At 50.2% G+C, this 17,060-nt stretch overlaps 15 non-coding genes across 15 annotated transcripts; all 15 read right to left on the bottom strand.

Moving 5' to 3' along the window:
• Positions 1 to 2,652: 2,652 nt before the first annotated feature.
• MIR656 (microRNA 656) lies at positions 2,653 to 2,730 on the bottom strand. Its single transcript, NR_030392.1, has one exon. It is a non-coding gene; the product is annotated as a microRNA 656 (primary transcript).
• Positions 2,731 to 3,462: 732 nt separating this feature from the next.
• Positions 3,463 to 3,542, bottom strand: MIR410 (microRNA 410). The gene has a single exon (NR_030156.1). It is a non-coding gene; the product is annotated as a microRNA 410 (primary transcript).
• Positions 3,543 to 3,786: 244 nt separating this feature from the next.
• Positions 3,787 to 3,856, bottom strand: MIR369 (microRNA 369). Its single transcript, NR_029862.1, has one exon. It is a non-coding gene; the product is annotated as a microRNA 369 (primary transcript).
• A 60-nt stretch (positions 3,857 to 3,916) lies between these two features.
• MIR412 (microRNA 412) lies at positions 3,917 to 4,007 on the bottom strand. Its single transcript, NR_030155.1, has one exon. It is a non-coding gene; the product is annotated as a microRNA 412 (primary transcript).
• Positions 4,008 to 4,075: 68 nt separating this feature from the next.
• On the bottom strand, positions 4,076 to 4,154 carry MIR409 (microRNA 409). Its single transcript, NR_029975.1, has one exon. It is a non-coding gene; the product is annotated as a microRNA 409 (primary transcript).
• A 721-nt stretch (positions 4,155 to 4,875) lies between these two features.
• Positions 4,876 to 4,959, bottom strand: MIR541 (microRNA 541). Its single transcript, NR_030594.1, has one exon. It is a non-coding gene; the product is annotated as a microRNA 541 (primary transcript).
• Positions 4,960 to 7,335: 2,376 nt separating this feature from the next.
• On the bottom strand, positions 7,336 to 7,404 carry MIR377 (microRNA 377). The gene has a single exon (NR_029869.1). It is a non-coding gene; the product is annotated as a microRNA 377 (primary transcript).
• Positions 7,405 to 8,779: 1,375 nt separating this feature from the next.
• On the bottom strand, positions 8,780 to 8,881 carry MIR496 (microRNA 496). Its single transcript, NR_030176.1, has one exon. It is a non-coding gene; the product is annotated as a microRNA 496 (primary transcript).
• A 734-nt stretch (positions 8,882 to 9,615) lies between these two features.
• On the bottom strand, positions 9,616 to 9,699 carry MIR154 (microRNA 154). The gene has a single exon (NR_029704.1). It is a non-coding gene; the product is annotated as a microRNA 154 (primary transcript).
• A 3,454-nt stretch (positions 9,700 to 13,153) lies between these two features.
• Positions 13,154 to 13,235, bottom strand: MIR323B (microRNA 323b). Its single transcript, NR_036133.1, has one exon. It is a non-coding gene; the product is annotated as a microRNA 323b (primary transcript).
• A 727-nt stretch (positions 13,236 to 13,962) lies between these two features.
• Positions 13,963 to 14,035, bottom strand: MIR485 (microRNA 485). The gene has a single exon (NR_030160.1). It is a non-coding gene; the product is annotated as a microRNA 485 (primary transcript).
• A 95-nt stretch (positions 14,036 to 14,130) lies between these two features.
• On the bottom strand, positions 14,131 to 14,196 carry MIR668 (microRNA 668). Its single transcript, NR_030408.1, has one exon. It is a non-coding gene; the product is annotated as a microRNA 668 (primary transcript).
• Positions 14,197 to 14,694: 498 nt separating this feature from the next.
• Positions 14,695 to 14,767, bottom strand: MIR134 (microRNA 134). The gene has a single exon (NR_029698.1). It is a non-coding gene; the product is annotated as a microRNA 134 (primary transcript).
• A 305-nt stretch (positions 14,768 to 15,072) lies between these two features.
• Positions 15,073 to 15,148, bottom strand: MIR382 (microRNA 382). The gene has a single exon (NR_029874.1). It is a non-coding gene; the product is annotated as a microRNA 382 (primary transcript).
• A 1,780-nt stretch (positions 15,149 to 16,928) lies between these two features.
• MIR487A (microRNA 487a) lies at positions 16,929 to 17,008 on the bottom strand. The gene has a single exon (NR_030162.1). It is a non-coding gene; the product is annotated as a microRNA 487a (primary transcript).
• Between the last annotated feature and the right edge of the window lie 52 nt (positions 17,009 to 17,060).

Raw genomic sequence — 17,060 nt, 5'->3', positions numbered from 1 at the left:
GCAGGGTGGGTGAGAGCACACAGCCTGGAGCCAGACCCTGCCCCACCTCCAGCTGGGTGACCTTGGTTGACTCACTCAACCTCTCTGCGCTCCATTTCCTCAACTATGGAAAAGAAACTGTCTCCTCACAGCAGCTGATGGGGCCCAGGACCAAGGCAAGCGCCCCAACACGACAGCTATTACTTCTCCTCTTATCTCCCGCTGAAACAACAAGGAAATGGGAACGGAGGTCCAGGTTGTTCAATTTCCCAACCACGTCCAGGAGACATAGTGGGGATAAACCGGGCCCTTGCACTGGAGAAGGGAGCACACCTCGTGAACTTGGACCGGCGGCAGGGTTTACACACCGCACTGAAGACGGGACAAGTCACAGAGCCTCTGGTTGAAGGGTCCATGGAGACTTTCATCCTGGCCACCTGTGGGGCACACGTTCTTATTTGGCTTATCTGATGAGAAAGGCCCTTTGTTTATTTTTTCTTCTCCGCAAACAATAGATAAATCAATCATTTTTGCTTTTAATGAAATTCTGCATCAAGTGGCACAGGGTCACTGTGTTTGGGTTAGAAATCGGCGGGGAACATGCACGCTGCTGCATGCCGGGCCGACGCCGGACTCACCCCCTAATTCTCAAGTGGCGCGTGATGCACCCAGCACTCTTCCTGAGTGGTGGCCTGGGAGACTCGGCGGGGGGGCCGTGCCTGTTAACGCCGTGGTGTGCGGGGATGGTTATATTGAAGCTATTAAATAAGGCTAATGTCACTCTTCCCCTCACACACACATTTAATATATTCCAAAGATGTGTAGATGCATTAACAGCAATTTTCATCTCCAAATGTTCCCATTTAGTCAGCCCCATGCATAAAATATGAGCCCTAACACCACGCTCCAGCCCGTTGCAGATGGAGTTCCCCAGAGCATTTGGCTCTCAGCGCTGGGGCGTTTGCTGGAGGGGCGGGGGCGCGATCAGTCGGCATCTGCAGGGGAACACAGGGCCTGTCACTTCCTCTGGGGCTTTGGTGCCCCCACCCCCCGACAAGTGGAAGAGAGAACCCAGACCCAACTGACTCGTGCCTCCTGCAGCTAATCTCAGCCTCATCCTGGAAGGGCAGAAAAAGCTAGAAAACCAAACAGCTTTGAACAAATGGGAAGAATTTCTAAAAATCAATTAACATATTCATGTACTCCATCACCACATCTTATTGACTGCCTGCTTTGTGCCCAGCACCTGCCTGGGAATTCATCTGATCCGGTCCCTGCCTTTGGGGACTCCATTAGTCAATCAACAAACACTCACTGTTCTGCTACTGAACACAGCAGGGGATGAGAGAGAGAGAGAGAGAGAGAGAGAGAGAGAGAGAGAGAGAGAAATTTCTGCCAATGAGAAATCTCACAGTCTAGGGCACAAAGAAGGTAGACATTAACATTAGGCAATTTCAGAGAACTGTAAGCTAGGAAGAAAACAGTAACGGGGCAACTGGTAGAATGTGATAGGGAAGAGGCAAGGGGAGCTGCTTTTATAGGGTTATCAGGGATGACCTTGCTGAACAAGAGCCATTCCATCCCCTTGGGAATTGTGAACCCCTGGGAAAGGAAAATGCAAAGGATGTGGGCCTTTAAGGAAGGAAGGGCCAGAGCCTGGACAGGAGGCAGCCGAGGGCAGAGCAGGGCGGCCCAGGACCCAGCTCCGGAAGGAGGGGCATGTGCAAGGCCAGAATGAAGGATGAAAACACGTGGGGGATAGGCTGTGGCTCCAAAAGAAGAGGGGGGCTGCCACTCTGAGGGCCTGGGGGGTCCTCGGATCATTTTGGTACCAAGCCCAAGGGAAGGGGCCTGCAGAGGTGCCCTGGGCAGCGGAGTTAAACAGCTGGACTCTGCACTTGGAAATGCTCTCCCTGGCAGAGGGAGGGGCACTGGAGGGAGACCCAAGTGCCACAGGCTGGAGGGACCTAGCCTGTGGGGCGGCCTCTCCAGCAGGGCTGTGGCCCAGGGGCTGGGGAAGAGGGGTGCTGAGGGAGAGTGGGAGCAGGCAGCCCAGAGGGATGGTGCCAGGGATCCCCACTCCCATGCTAGGCATGGAGAGGAGCGGTCCCGAGGAGGAGGACAAGGGGGAGGGCAGGCACAGGCTGTGACTTCCAAGGCAGCGACGTCTCAACTAGGGGATGACGGGAGCCCAGCTCAGGAAGATCTCCCGAGCCCAGGAGCTCACTGATCAACAATGAGTGATAAAGGACAGCCTTAGCTCATTCTTTGGGGTCACTCCTGAGGTGCTCCTTGCCTTCAGCCCTGGACCCTGGGCATGGGCAGCATGTTCTGGAGTCACTAAGTCTCCAGGTCAGCTGCAAACAGGCCTCTGGTCATCTTCCTGTAGTCTGGGCAGGCCAGGGGTGCAAATATGACATAAGCATCGGGTAGCTGAGAGCCAGCCCAGCCTGGGGGATGTGCCAACCGGAAGCAAGGGCATGGCGGGTGCTCCCGCTGACACTGGAATTGGGGATGCCATTCTGTCACACTTCCAAAGCCCCCCAGAACAGAGTGGAGCTGGAAAATTAACAGGCCAAGTGACACAGGTCCTACACAAAGTCCACAGGGTCAACCAGCGCAGAGCCAGCTGCTGCCTGGAGTTGACAGCAAAGAGGAAGGCATCCAAGGTGGGATTCGATATCGGAAAGAGGTTGACTGTATAATATTCATCATATAGAAAGTGAACACCTCACAGGCAACCTATTTCAGGTACCACTGAGCAGCACTGACTCCAGGGAGGAGGCTTCTTCCACAGGGAAGGGCCCTGCCACCCACCCGCCTCCAGGATGGAGGCCAGCACAGGGCTGCAGGTGGAAGTCAAGCGCGTGCTCGGCCACCAGCCATGCCTCTGGGGGCCCACAGGGCGCGCAACCGGACCTCCCCGACATCAGCAGGTGCAGGAATCATGCAGGTGGGATCTGATACTGAAGAGAGGCCGCTCGTGTCTTGTGTGTCATGATTTCTGTGAATGCAACACAGGCCACCTCTCCTCAGGCACCACAAGGAGCAGCACACGCACACGGCCACCCAAGGCACCAGCTCCCACCCAGGGTCTCACAGCACTGAGATGAGCAGAAGGCAGCCCAGGTGCAGGGAATGCATGCAGCCGCCCCCAACATCCTGGCGAGGGGTGGGTGGCCTTCCAGCAGGATGCCTTCCAGCGGGACTAGCTCCCCCGTGTCCTCTGCCTCGATGACACTGGCCATGAAAAACAGACTGAGCCCCGTCACCATTGCTCATCAGCTTCATGACCGCCCCCCACCACAGTGCACAACCCTAGCATCTTCCCCAAAGTCCACATGGCCCCCCGAAAGCTCTCCCAAAATGATTCAATGGCGGGGGTCAGGGGAAAGGATGACAAATGTCACACCAGCCCATGCATTCACGTACCCTGGAAAGTCCCGCCTCAGGCGTGGCGCCCGCACACCACCGGGCGGTAGCGGTACTGAAAACAGGCCATCTGTGTTATATTCGTCATTAATAAAAGCGAACTCATCACAGACAACCTCTTCTCAGGTACCCAGAGTGCCATCGGCTCAAGAACGTGGCTGCCGCGTCCCGTGGTGCCAGCGCTGCCCCCGGGAAGCAGTCCTGAGGACGGATGGGACATCAAAGGTGAGAAGACACAGAGACAGGAAAGAGACCCCTGCCCGGCCCACTCTCGGTGACCAGGCCCCACTGAGGCAGCGACTCCAAAGCACCCGTCCTGCTCCTACCCTCAAAAGGGCTTCATCTCCAACGGGTCCTCCAAGGTGAGATTTGATACTGAGAAAAGATCAACCATGTATTATTCGAAGTCAATAAAGCGAATATAACACGGTCGATCTCCCTTCAAGTACCAGGAAAGGCGCTGAGCTGAAGCGCGATCGGCTCCCCGGCCCGCAGGCCCCACAGGCTGCAGCGGATACGGACGGCTAGTGGACCAGGTGAAGTACATTAGAAACAATTACTTTCCAACTGGTCGACCATCCATCCCCGTACCCCAGAATGGTGCTGATGCCGGCGTCCTTCCCCGAGGTGCCCCAGCCTCCAAGACGGCCTCCCTGGTGGAATTTGATACCGAAAAGGGGTTCACCGAGCAACATTCGTCGTCCAGATGCAAAGTTGCTCGGGTAACCTCTCCCCGAGTACCATGGAGAGGCTCAGATGCTCGGACTAAGGTGAATGCTTGCAGGCGGCTGTGCTTGCAGAAGACCCTCCCCCAAGGGCAGCACAAGGTCTGGGCATTCAGAGCCCAGAGCCTCACACTCTCCAAGGACGTTCCCAATCACCAAGTCCAACGATTCCAACCCCTTCCAGAATGAATCTAGAGACTCTTCCCAGAAGTTGAGTGCAAGACCCAGGTAGGATCTTATACTGAAAAGACGGCAACCTTCCTTGGGCACCTTGCTAAAGATGAAAATGAAACCCTGCTCGCACCCGCTTTTCATTCCCAGACCCTGAGAGGGGGTGACCCTGTAGGGACCCCTGCACAAGCACAGAGCCTCCCTCCCAGCAGAGGATTCCTTTGGCGGGAGCTCAACGGGGCACAACGCTGACCCCAGACCTGCGGTCTCACCAGCACCATCTCCAGCCCACAGAGGCATCACCCCAGGATCCCTCAAAGAGTAACTTCACAGTTATCAACAGCTGGCTGACCATCTGATTAGCCTCATAAAGCAAGTGAGACATTCAAAATAAGGGACTGGGGGGATAAATGCAGCAGAAGAAAGCAGGTGAGTCACAGATGTCTTCTCTTCACAAGGGTCAGGGCAGCCCTGACCTCAGAACCCAACCTTCCCCAGACTCAGAGAACACCCAGAAGGTGCCTCCTGGAGCGGGCAGCCAGCAAGCATCGGGCCAGACGATGGATGCCACAAGCAGAGTCCAGATTCTGTGCCCACCACCCATTCTGTGAACTTTGGAGTGGGACCGACAGCAGAATCCTTTCCCTGACGTTGGCATGAGCTCAGAGAGCCCTCTGCGCCTTGCTACAAGTGGAGCAAGAGGCCAGCCATGCGAGGCCTGCTGTAAAGAAAGAAAAGATGTCACAGACGACTTCCCTTCAGGAGCCATGGGCACTGACCTGCATCAGAGCCTCCTTCCTGGGGCAGGCATCACCTCCCAAGGTGGTCCCGGAACGCACCGGAGTCAGCAGGAGTGGAACAGATGACATGCACCGTGGGTACAATCGGGCCTGTCCCATGGGCGGCCCTCAGGCACCTGCCCTGGAGAGGGCTCCGGCTGCAGGCCGCCTCCTGAGGGTGCTGTTGCTTCTGGAAATTCTCCAGGTAGGGTTTGATCTGAAAAGAAAGCCATGTGCAATGCTGGTCACCAACAAAGCAGGCCAGCAAACAACGAGCTCTTTCCACAGCCCCAGCAAGGTTTTTGACCTTGGAAACATCAACTCCAGAATGACTTTCAGCCTCTATGACCAAATGACATTCGGCACCAACGAAGGGCACGTCCTTGGGGCCAGCATGGAACCATGTAAGGTATCAACAGCAGAGTCTGAGGAAGGACTGAACCCCAGAATGTTCCTGGATGCCTGTGTGTTCATCAATAGCCTTGGAAGTGTGAAAGGAAAGTTATCTCGGGCCCCTAAAATCACTAAGGAAAACTCAAGCTGGAAGCTGCTCAGGATAAACCTGCCTCTCATTCCATTCAAAGTCATCCCTCTGCTCACTGAGACAGATGCGTATCTGATTTGCCTCCTTTGGAAAGGCTCATGAGAAACGCGAAAGAATGTAATCATTTGTGTATCACCTGTCTGTGACCTGGAAGCTCCCTCCTTCCTGCCTTCGCTTCAAGTTGTCCCACCTTTGCAGACAAAACCAATGTACTTCTTACATGTGCTGAATGATGTCTCATGTCTCCCTAAAATGTATAAAGCCAAGCTGTGCCTTGACCACAGTACTTCCTGAAGCTGTGTTACGGGTGTATCCTCAACCTTGTCAAAATAAACTTTCTAAATTAACTAAGAGCTGTCTCAGATTTTCTGAGTTCACAGAAGCAACTGTCCTGAAAGACCAGACCCCACTGACCGTAGAACTTCTGCTTCCCTCCGGAGTCAGCGTCTCACCCAGAACCCTCCGTGGGGATGGAGGGAGACCAGGTGATGCCTGTCACTTACGTATGAATGCTCTGGGGACAACATGCACCCAGATCCCCGGGAGGACGCCTTACCAGTGTGTCACGCCTGAAGTCAGCACACCTTTCCGGGAAGCTCTCGGGAAGGTTTGGGGCAGCAAGAAAAGATCAACTGCATAAAGGGGGAGACTGTATCCCATTTTTTGACCCTAGGTTCCTACTGACCCCACCAACTCCACTGTAAACACGCACAAATGTAACCACCTTCACAAGAATTGTACCAACACTGATATTCATAGAAACGTGTTTTTCAGAGCCAATGCCATTATACTAATCCAATTCCCTGTTTAGCTTTCCTGACCGCGCTGTTGAGCTGTTTTCATTTCTCTTATTTCCCTTGTTATTTTCCCCAAATCATTTTCATTAGGATCAATTTTTTCCATTTAAAAATCTGCATGAAGATTTGATTCCTCAATGTGTTCTTGTCTACATCAAATATCACTGTTTATCACCGCCGCCACCGTGAATTTCCTTCCATGGCTGCCACGTCGGCAGCTTGCTATTTCCCCAGGTCAAATGTCACAGCTGAAATGTTGTCAAGAAAATTGGATTCCTCTGCCAATTTGTAGTCAACTGAACACATTTAGCACTGTGCCGTTTCAGCTGTTTTTAGTTTTATTTTGTGTTGATTATTTTTATCAGTATTATTTAATACAAATGGGATGAGATACTGATAGCCTCTATTTGTTTCATAACCCAGGAGAAAATTGGGAACAATGTTTGGTTGGGGGATAGAAAGAGAAAGATAGAGACAAGGAAAGGTGCAGAAAGAAGCACAGTGCTTGTGAGCTAGACGGGGGTCTGGGGCTGCAGACTCGTCACAGACCCTGCCAAGTGTGAGCTCTTTGTGTATCCGCGAGGTCAAATACCTTCCGAAAAAAAAATGGTGGAGTCAAAATGTCTTTGGGATCAACACAGCCAAAATGGTGATGTAAAGAGACAGGGTCCAGGGTAAGAGCTAAAGCCGACGCGACACCAACGCCATCCTCCCCGGGCCGCGAGCCCCGCCCCCATCATGAATGAAGCTTGTGTTCTCTGAGCGACATCTGTTCTCATCCACCGCAGAGGACCGCAGAGGGCAGACCACCCACGTCTACCCCGTCCATTCTTGCTCACGGGAGGGGTGTAGATGCCCCTGAGCTTGCCACTGGGTCCCGGAAGCCATCCCAAGCAGGATTTGATACTCAAACAAAAGTTGCCTTTGTGTGATTCAACATAAATAAAGCGAATTCACCAAGGGCAACCTCTGCTCAAGGGTCAAACATCAGCACGGGCAAGAACACACCGAGATGCCTCTTCACCAAAGGCGGCATTGCCTGCGGGACCTCCCTGCTGACTCCAGCTGCAGGCTCGCTGGCTTGCTGGCTCGCTCTCTCCCCTCTTGCTCTCTCTCTCTCTCTACCTCCGAGAAGCCCCCCAGGCAGTGGTCAGAACATGGTTGGTCATGGACCAGCTTCTGTAGCCCTGGAGCAGGCAGTGGGGGCGAGGCTATGCACACACACATCACAGGTCAGCCCGAGCTAGAGTCAGCCCCTGGTCACCTACCCTAGAGGGGCTGGAACACCAAGGTCCACCTCCAGAGCCGGTATCTCCTCTGGAAGTCTCTGAAGCAGGATTTCACACAGAGAAGGGGGCTGCCAATGAACCATGTGACCGTGTTCAGTCCAGCCTACAGGGGTTTGAGGGAGGACCCGACCTGAAGGCTGGCGACTCCTCGTCCAGCGCAGCATCCTCAGAGGGTGGGTGGGGCTGCGTCACAGGGACAGCACAGGCTCAGGTGACTGTACTCCATGCACTCCATTCCAGGAGGCCTCAAAGAGAGTTCAACCAAGAAAACAGGTCACGCTGCCTATTCATTCATTCAGCATCACACCTACTGTGCACATCTGGCGACACAGCACCAGGCAAAACAGACAAGGACTCTGCCCTCAGGGAGCTTCCATTCTAGTGGCGAGAGGACAATGAGTGCAGATGACATAACATTCATATAATGACCATCCTCAGAAACAATGCTTATCCTACAGCCACGTGCCAGACGCTGTCTAGACACTTCACAAAGAGCACGTTTCCACTCCGCTGTTAACCCTGCTTTACAGAGGAAGAGACTGAGGCCCAGAGAGCTGATAGGTGAAGGGATTTTCCAAGGGCACACAGCTGGCAACATAAGGTAGTAATAAATGCTATTAACAATTCTCGTCTTGCAGTAGGAATAACCGAGTCGTGCCATGGAAATGTGTCTTTAAACAACATTAATTCTCACTGCTGAGGAAACCCCCTTCACCCCTTGCTTCCCAGAGGTCACCCAGAAGATAAGGTATTTGAGGGCGTAATGTGGATGTCTTCCATTCAGCCAGGAGTTCCTTTCCCTAAAGTGTGCCACACAGCCAAGATGATTTCACACCTAAAAAGGTTGACTAAATGTGGTTTATTCACTGACGAGTCTTCAAGGATGCGACTAGAAGACCACCATGTCAACTAAAACGTCAGCATCATTTCGGGGAATTCCTCCTAATGATGGCCGGGATATGAGCCAAGTGATGTAAGTCACACAGAGAGCACCTGTCATGCGGAGGTGATCCACTTCCTTACCCTGCGCAGGTGCCGGCTGGGCTTTCCCCTCGTGACGTTTCCCAAGAAGAATTGAGTACCGAAAGGAGATTGGCCATGTAATACTCATCATAAATAAAATGAACACACCATGGACAACCTCCATTCGAGTACCTGACTTGGGTGCTCGCTTCCAGCGCGTCCCAGCAGCAGGCCTGAGGACGGACGGGATACTGAGAGTCAGGAAGGTGGCAACACACCACCCACGAAATAAGCTCTGCGGTCCGGGCCGCACTCCATCCCTTACTTGCAATTAGCACCTCTTGCAGGAAGCCATTCAGGGAGGGAAGTGCCACAGCAGAGAGGTCTGCAGAGCACCATCTGTGATACATGAAGAGAGGGCAGCAGGGAAGACAGCAAGACGGTGTCTTGTCAAACATGCAGTGAGCCGATGAGGGAACTGCCGCCTCTTTCGAGGAAACTGCCATGGTAAGCAAGCAGGACGCCTGCAGGTGCACGACCCACCAAGAAGAGTGTGCACACTGTCAGCTTCGCCGTGCGTTCAGGCATTCAGACACCAGTTCTAGTTCCTAAACTCGGCACCACCCGAGGGTGCTTTAAGGCTAGATTTAATGCTTTCAAAAGAGTCCACTATGTAGGATTGGTCAAAAAATAAATCGAATGCATCATGGAAGACCTCTCCACCAGTACCACAGAGTAGCTCTGATAGGAAAAGCTCCACTTCTTCCCCAAAGGTGGCACCATCTCTAGAAACCTCCCCAAGGACGGGGCACACACAGGGTTAGGGCCAGGGCACACTGCTGGGTCGGCTATGGTCAATGGTCCCCTTCCTTACCCTGGAGAGGAGCTGACACCCTGAAGTAAGACTCCGCTCCAGGAAGCCCTCCAAGGCGGGATTTGGTACTGAAAAATAGGTCAACCGTGTATGATTCGTCACAAATAAAGCGAAGGCAACACGGATAACCTATCTTCAAGTACCACACGCTAGCGCAGACCCAATGTCAATGCCTGTTCTCCAAAGTTGGCCTCCTCCAGGAAGTCCCCCTAGGAGACAGTGAACATTGACGGTTAGCAGACGGACTGCAAGAGGGTTGAGAAGAAAGCACACGCCCTGTATTCAACCATTCCATCCCGGACCCTGCAGCCATCCAGACCTCAATGCCTTTGCCAAGGTGGGTGCATGTCTAAAGGAGCACTGCCAGGGAACCTGATGGTGGAGAGGCCAAGTGCACAGAAACTCAGCATTTGGATCAGAGCAGGGCACATTCCCTCATCTCACATTAGCATCGAGGCTGACAGTAATGATCCTTTCCTTACACAGGCCTTGTGTCCAGGAACCCTCCAAAGCTGAGTCCATGACAAAGAGACTGACTTTACAATATTGATCATACAGAAACAAACAGCATTGAATGCAAACTTTATTAGACCATGGCATGGCACTGACCTCAGAATCATGGCCTCATCCCCAAAGGTGAGCATAATTTCCAGGAAGTCTTCCTAAGGATAGATTGCATGCTTGGGGTTAATGGTACTTCATATATGGTTTTTCAAACTCTTCCATTGTTAGCAGAAAATTCACATACCTGGCCAGTGGTGCTGACTCCCACGACCATCTCAGAAGTGGCATTGCCATAAGGCATCCTGCCAGGGTGGAAGGTGACACTGAGGAGGGGGCATCTGGGTAGGATTGTTTTAAATAGACAAATGCACAGTGCAAATGACAACAGACTGACGTGCAGACAGATGGCAGCAAGGGGCCAGATGACAGACTTTCTTCTCCTCCAGTACACAATGAAATGAACAAAACAGATTATTTCACCAAAGAAAAAACCAACACCTGGAGTAGAAAAGTGCTCATAAAATGAATAAATCCTTGAAACAAAGGAACGATTAAATCTACTCATCAAGAAGGCATATTATGATTCAGAAAAACTAATGAATAAAAATAGTGACTGAGTCATAACCCGGTAAAGTCACCAACGTTCAAGACTAAAGAAAGAATCAGGAAATCTAAGCAGGAAAAAAAAAAAGTTCATCCATCCAAGGGAAAGCAGCTGTCCCCAGGCTTGTCCACAGCAATGGTTTAACACCAGAAAGCAATGGAGGCAAGTTTACAAAGTTCAGAGGGAAGAAACTGGGAGCCAAGAATGTCATGCCAAGTTCACCCATCATTCAGCTCAAAGGCTCCATCCCAGCAACAAGCACTGATAGGGAACCCTCTCCTCCACAAACATTGAGAAGTGTTGGATAAAATGCAACAGCAGGCAAAATCAATTCCCAAATAAACATACAGCTGAAAGGCAAAACCCTCAGGTGTTAATGAAAAGAATTAGTTCATGCAACCTGCCACTAAGGGATCTAAGGGATGCTGTGCTGGCTAGAGGCTCCAAGGGTCTACAGTCAAGTTCAAGTACAAGCAGGATGAAAAGACATGACCGTGCATCCAGGAGAAGTTGATCTGGGAATGGAAAGGGGAACCAGAAAATTTTATAATGGCCAGGGATAAGAGAATTTGTCATTTTTAGGGAGTGGATAGAATGAGGTCTCCTGTGAGATACCAAAGGTTCAGGACAAAGATATGGTGAGGACTTCTGCCAGCCATATGTCTGGGAATCCTTAAGCCAACAAAATGAGTTGAAAAACTGGTACCAACTGGTAAATTCCTTGGGGTACCAGGCAGAACCAAATGCAAACTCATGTGCATAGGGATTGAAACAAAACAGAAACACCTAAGTGCTCAACTGATGATAACCTCACAACACAAAGCTACAAAAACCATGAAGAAAAGCACCATCATGAGAGTCAATAGATTCAACAAAGAAAGGGGCTTGTATCCCTAAAGCTGAAAGAAATTATACAATAAATATCTTTAAAGTGACTAAAGAAATTTTAAAAACTTGAAATCATAAAGGCCAAATAGAACAGAATGAAAAAAAAATGGACAGATGGGAAAAGGTGTAAGAGCAATGGTCAGACATTCTCAGAGACGAAATACCTCACAGAACATAGTACCTCAAAGTCTTTCCAACAAGGTTTGTGAAGATCGCTAGATAAAATAGTCCAGGTAAGTAAGAGCTACATGGAGAAGCCACATTAAGACAGCTAGTGAAAGCCTCAATGCAAAAAACAGTGGACAATAGCTATAAATTTCTGAGAAAAAACAAGTAGGCTGAGACTTTTATACCTAGTTAAGCTGTCCCTTGTGCATAAAGAGATATATACTCTCAAATGCACAGGAACTCAAGGGTAGTGTCTATGAGCTATTCTCACAGAAACAATAAGATCATTTCCATTGAGAGATAAATTAAACTTAAAAACTAAAGAACGGAGAAACCTCAGTTAAAAAAAAACAAACCTTGTGGTCAGAAATGAATTCATTTAAATATAGAACTATGGCAAAACACCTGCAAGAATTATAGTTCTAGAACAAATTGCAGATATTTATAATGTAAAATTAAAATGTATAATTGAGAAAAAGCAGGAGATAGTAAGCAAAGGAAGAATAAGAATGCTGACTTCTTTATCTTTCTGAACTAGGAGTGAAATTGAAATAGTTAAAAACCATAACAATCCTAACCACTTAATTTTTACACTCTAATTTTTCTTAATTTTACAGGGATCTTTTAGGAGTTGCTACCTGTGGTGGTAAAGCGAGAAACATTTATCAATCATTTCAATCTCCTTTAGCTTGTTTTTTATGATAAATTCAAGGAAAATTATAGTTAGCATTTTTAATAAAATGATTAGGTACAGTGTGATCTCATATTTTCCCTGCGTCTGTCTTGTTTTTCTATTTGCATGTATGCTCAGACAGGTGTATGAAATTTCTAAAGCCCTTAATGGTTATTTCTGGGTGCCAGAGAATTGGGCAATTTTCCTTCTTTTTCATTTAGATTTTTCCACATCGCTTGAATTTTATTAAGCATGTGTCATTTTCATAAATATGGTAATAAGGTAGAATAATTATCCTTTTTGAAAAGAAAAACAAGAAATTGAAAATGCAACTGTCTTCTGTTCTTAAATTTGCTGTGGCCTCCAGATCAACAGATGTGGTGAGTCACCCTTCCAGTGAGTCCCCAAGAATGCTGAAATCAACGCCCCTTCCCTGAATTTGTCAACATGTCTAAGAAGTCCTTCCTCCATGGTAAGATTTAATAGTGAAAGAGAAGAGAACTATACATTGTTTTTCTTTAAAAAAAAACACAAAACCCCAGAAGCATCATGGGCACCACCACTTCCTCAGTCACAGAGGGGTCTTGAGCACAGATCACATGCTTCTTCCCCAGGAATGCACTGGCTGAGGATTAGGAGTGCTAGCAGCACCTACCCATTGGTTCCAGGGCCACACACATGTTCAGTTGCACTGGTGTGGAACCAACATGAGTATGGTGTCCCCTAAATCGGCATCAGGTCCAAGAAGACACCTGGTGAGATCTGATACCGAAAAGAGGTCGACCGTGTATTGGGCATCATTAAATAATGCGAACTCACCACGGACAACCTCCCTCCGAGTACCATGAGGTGGCACTGCTCGCAGCATTCCTGCATCTTCTGCACAGCCTGGGCAGCTTGGGAGTGGCCTCTGAGGGTGGATGGGACCCTGAGGATGAGTGGACCAGGTGGCTCAAACCCATGCTCTCCGGCCAACCCCAGGTTCACCAAGCCAGGATTAGTGTGCACAGAAATACCACTTCTTGTGCTCAGCTGGCCATGCAGGCAACATTTAATAATGCAAGGATGTCAGTGGCACAGGAGTCATTAAATATGAAGCAAACCACACACAAATGTGTGTGCAAAAGCAGGCTAAGCACTGCCTCCTTGGTAAACCTGGGATTCCCTTACAGGAATTCTCTGGAGGGTGTAAGGCTGCTGTGGGTTAGTAAACCAGGGGTCGCACAGAGTCCTGTTCCTGTTTTCTTCTGTATCCCGACGGCTGACTAATAAAAGATGCTTCTAGATGCCCAAGATTCAACTCCAAGGTTGAATTTGATAGGAATAAAAAAAGAAGTCAGCCATGTGTATTTCAATCTTAACTTTTAAAAAATTAGGGCATCCCAACAACCTCTCTCGATTTTCCTAAAGTTGGTAGTGCCCCAGGAAGTTGTTTTAGGGTCAGCTTGGACTCTAAAGTTAGTAGGTCAGTTACATGCATCCTCAGGAAAATGCTTGCCATGGGGTCAGCCATCCAGAAACCTACCTTGGAAGCAGCACTGGCTCAGGAAGCCCTCCGAGGCAGAATTTGACACTAAAAGAGAGGAGAGCCGTGTATGACTCGCTTTGATGAATCGAATTCATCACGGCCAGCCTCTCTCCAAGTACCACACATGAACACTGGTGAGAAATCCATTGCCTCTCTGGCAGAGGTGGCCGCCCTTCTCGGGAGTCCTGTTAGGAATGGGTGGGATAGTATTGGGTAGTGGGCCGAGCCGAGTGACATACACCCACATTAAGTGCATGCTCACCCGAGGCGCACTTACCTTAAGGGAGTGCTGAGGGCACTGCCTTCTCCCCAGCAGCAAGGATGCAGTTCGTCCTTCCAGACAAGACAGGGAGCTTTTGCGTAGCTCACTGGTCCCTGACAGGAGAATCATGGCCGCTTCCCAAAGCCGCATTATCTCCATGGAGCCTCCTAGGGAGAGACAGGATGCTGGGTATTAGAGGACGACGTGACAGACCTAACAAAGGCAGCACATGCTCTGGGAAGAAGGATTCAGTCACACACCCAGGAGAAAAGCTGGCCCACATCAGGTCCCTCAACAGAAGACAACATGGCGTCCCACATCGGAAGTCAACACTTCAAGGAGGCTGTCACAGTGGTGAAGGGGCTGCCAAGGCTGACTCATTGCATTTTAAGTAAACATACACCCCCAAGAGCACGTGTCATCGCAGTCCACCAAGCAGTCACAGCAAGTCCATGGCCGCTTCCCCAGAGTTGGTGGGAGCTCTGGAAAGTCTTCCTGGAGTGGGAGTGATGCTGAGGGTTGGTGACTAGGTGGCCCACAGGGTGAACACAGTGCATGCCCCTCTGGTCAACCAGTCACACACCCTGGACGGTGCTGACACCAACATCTCTTCTGGAAGTCGGCCTGGGGCCCAGGGAGCCTCTCTTCAAAGTCTTGTGAGGTGACGCTGGTGACAGAACCACAGCTGATTCCCCAGAGTTGGTGAGACCCATGGGAAGACCTCCTATAGGTGCATGGGAGGCTCGGATTATCGGGCCAGGTGACTTACAGCTAGGTCAGCGCATTGTCCATGGCCCGCCATCCATTCTTGGCTTTTCCACATGGTTGACACAAAGACTATCTTTCCTGAAGCTGCCATTGTGTCCAGGAAGTCCTTAGAGGTAGCATTTGGTACTGAAAAAAGTGTTGTCCGTGAATGATTCGTCATAAGTAAAGCGAATCCACCACGAACAACTTCTCTTCAAGTACCACAGAAAAGCAGAGACAAGACAGACAAGGAGTCCCCTTCCACTTCTCCAAGGGGAGTGGCTGCCAACCACCATCCTGTGGACAGAGTGGACACCGAGCATTAGTGAGGCAGCTTACGGGTGTCCTAGGAACACACTGGAGTTTGGGCAACCCTTCACTCACCTCCCTTGGAGTGGTGCTGGCACAGTCCCCCTTCCCTGGAGTTGAAATTGTGGTCCTGAATCCACACGCACAAGGTTTAGAAATAAGAAGAGGGAAGCCACTTGTCACACGCCAGGAGCACTCCGCAGTGTGTAGACCCCAGGGTTTCTGAACAGGGCCTTGGACTTCTCAACAGAGCACACTGAGTTATCCATCAAGCACATCAAGGTGCCAGCCAGGCTCCCGCAGGGCCCACTGAACTAGGGAGGTCCAGAGGGGGCCCCCTTTTGCCACTGCAGGTGCCCCTAGAGAAACTGCCCAGCTCAGGCACGCCAGGCTCCTGGTAGGTTCCCCATCACTGCCCTGGGTAGATTCTCTATCAATGCCCTTGTGGTCAGAGTGATCTTTCCAACACAGACCACGCATCCCCCCTGCTCACAACCCTTCCAAATCCCCCATCTCACTCAGAATAAAACCTGGAGTCCTGCCTCTCCCAGCTCAGACCCAGCGACTCCCAGCAGCTCGGTTCAATCCCACTGGCCTTCTTGCTTTTTCTTAAAGATGCCAGGGGGCTTTCCATGGGCCTTGCCCTCCTCCTGAAATGCTCCTACCCCAGACCTTCCTCTGGTCCACCCCACTCCATTCCCACCCACATCCTCAGAGAGAGCTTTCCAGACCCCTGTATTTAACACAAAGGTCCACCTGCTTTTACCTCTTTCTGTCACTGTAACCCGCTTTCCCTTTCCCCATAAAACCTAGCAGTGGACAAAATTACGCTTCCTAATTCATGTGTTCTCATCCGTCTCTTCCACCAGAATGTAAAGTCCACATGAGCAAGAACTTGATTTCATTCACTGCTCTCTGCTAAGGTCCAGAATCACCTAGAACACAGTGTGCACTCCATCACTATTTATGGAATGACCAAGTCATTCCTTGTTATTTGATCAACTCATGAACCATGTAGTTATGCTATAAACAAAAGAATCTGATTTTTTTAAAAAGAGAGAACTTTATCGAAACAAAATCATGGTGGCCAAAGTCACCAACCCTCTCAATAGCCATTATGGCCATGGGCAGGACACAGCTCTGGCAGGAGAGTGAGCTCAGGGAGACGCCTCAGAAACAAAGCTCAGACTGCTCAACTAACTCTCCACAAACTCCAACAGATGTGGATGCCAAGTCTCCCCAGAGGGCGGTGCTGCTTCCAGAAACCCTTCCCTGGCAAGATTTGGCACTCAAAAATTCTGCCCTGGAACAAAAGCAATAATGATGACCAATTACCTATCAGTCAGTCCGGCTGATGACAGTAACACTACCGAGCCAGCATGTCTCCAGAGATTCATCTTACCAAGGGTGAGGGTCACTTGGAGCAGGTGACAGACGTCTTGTGTGAATGGGCCTCTCACTGGTCAACTTCCCCCAATAATGTAGTGCAGACACCAAAGCCCCTTCCAGAAAATCACAGCCTTAGAAGTAACCATCTTCCTCAGAGATTCGATTCTGGTCATGGCTGTGGCACATGAAGAAGCTAGTGCACTGCGATGGCCCGTTCACATACATACCTTGGGTGGGAGGTGAAGCCAAGACCCCTTGCCTGAAGGCGGGACGCTGTCCGGGAAGCCTTCCAAAGCAGTATTTGATACTGAAAAACTGGATGTCCCTGTATGATTCGTCATAAATTAAGCGAACACAGCAGGGATAACCACTCTTCAAGTACCGAAGGCTGACGGTGACGGCCCACGTCTTCACCAGAGTCTGCCTTCCTTCCAG

The sequence above is a fragment of the Homo sapiens genome, chromosome 14, assembly GCF_000001405.40.
Source record: "Homo sapiens chromosome 14, GRCh38.p14 Primary Assembly".
NCBI classification, from domain to species: Eukaryota; Metazoa; Chordata; class Mammalia; order Primates; family Hominidae; genus Homo; species Homo sapiens.
Note: the sequence above shows the minus strand (reverse complement) of the source record. Positions and strands in the feature narration are given on the sequence as shown.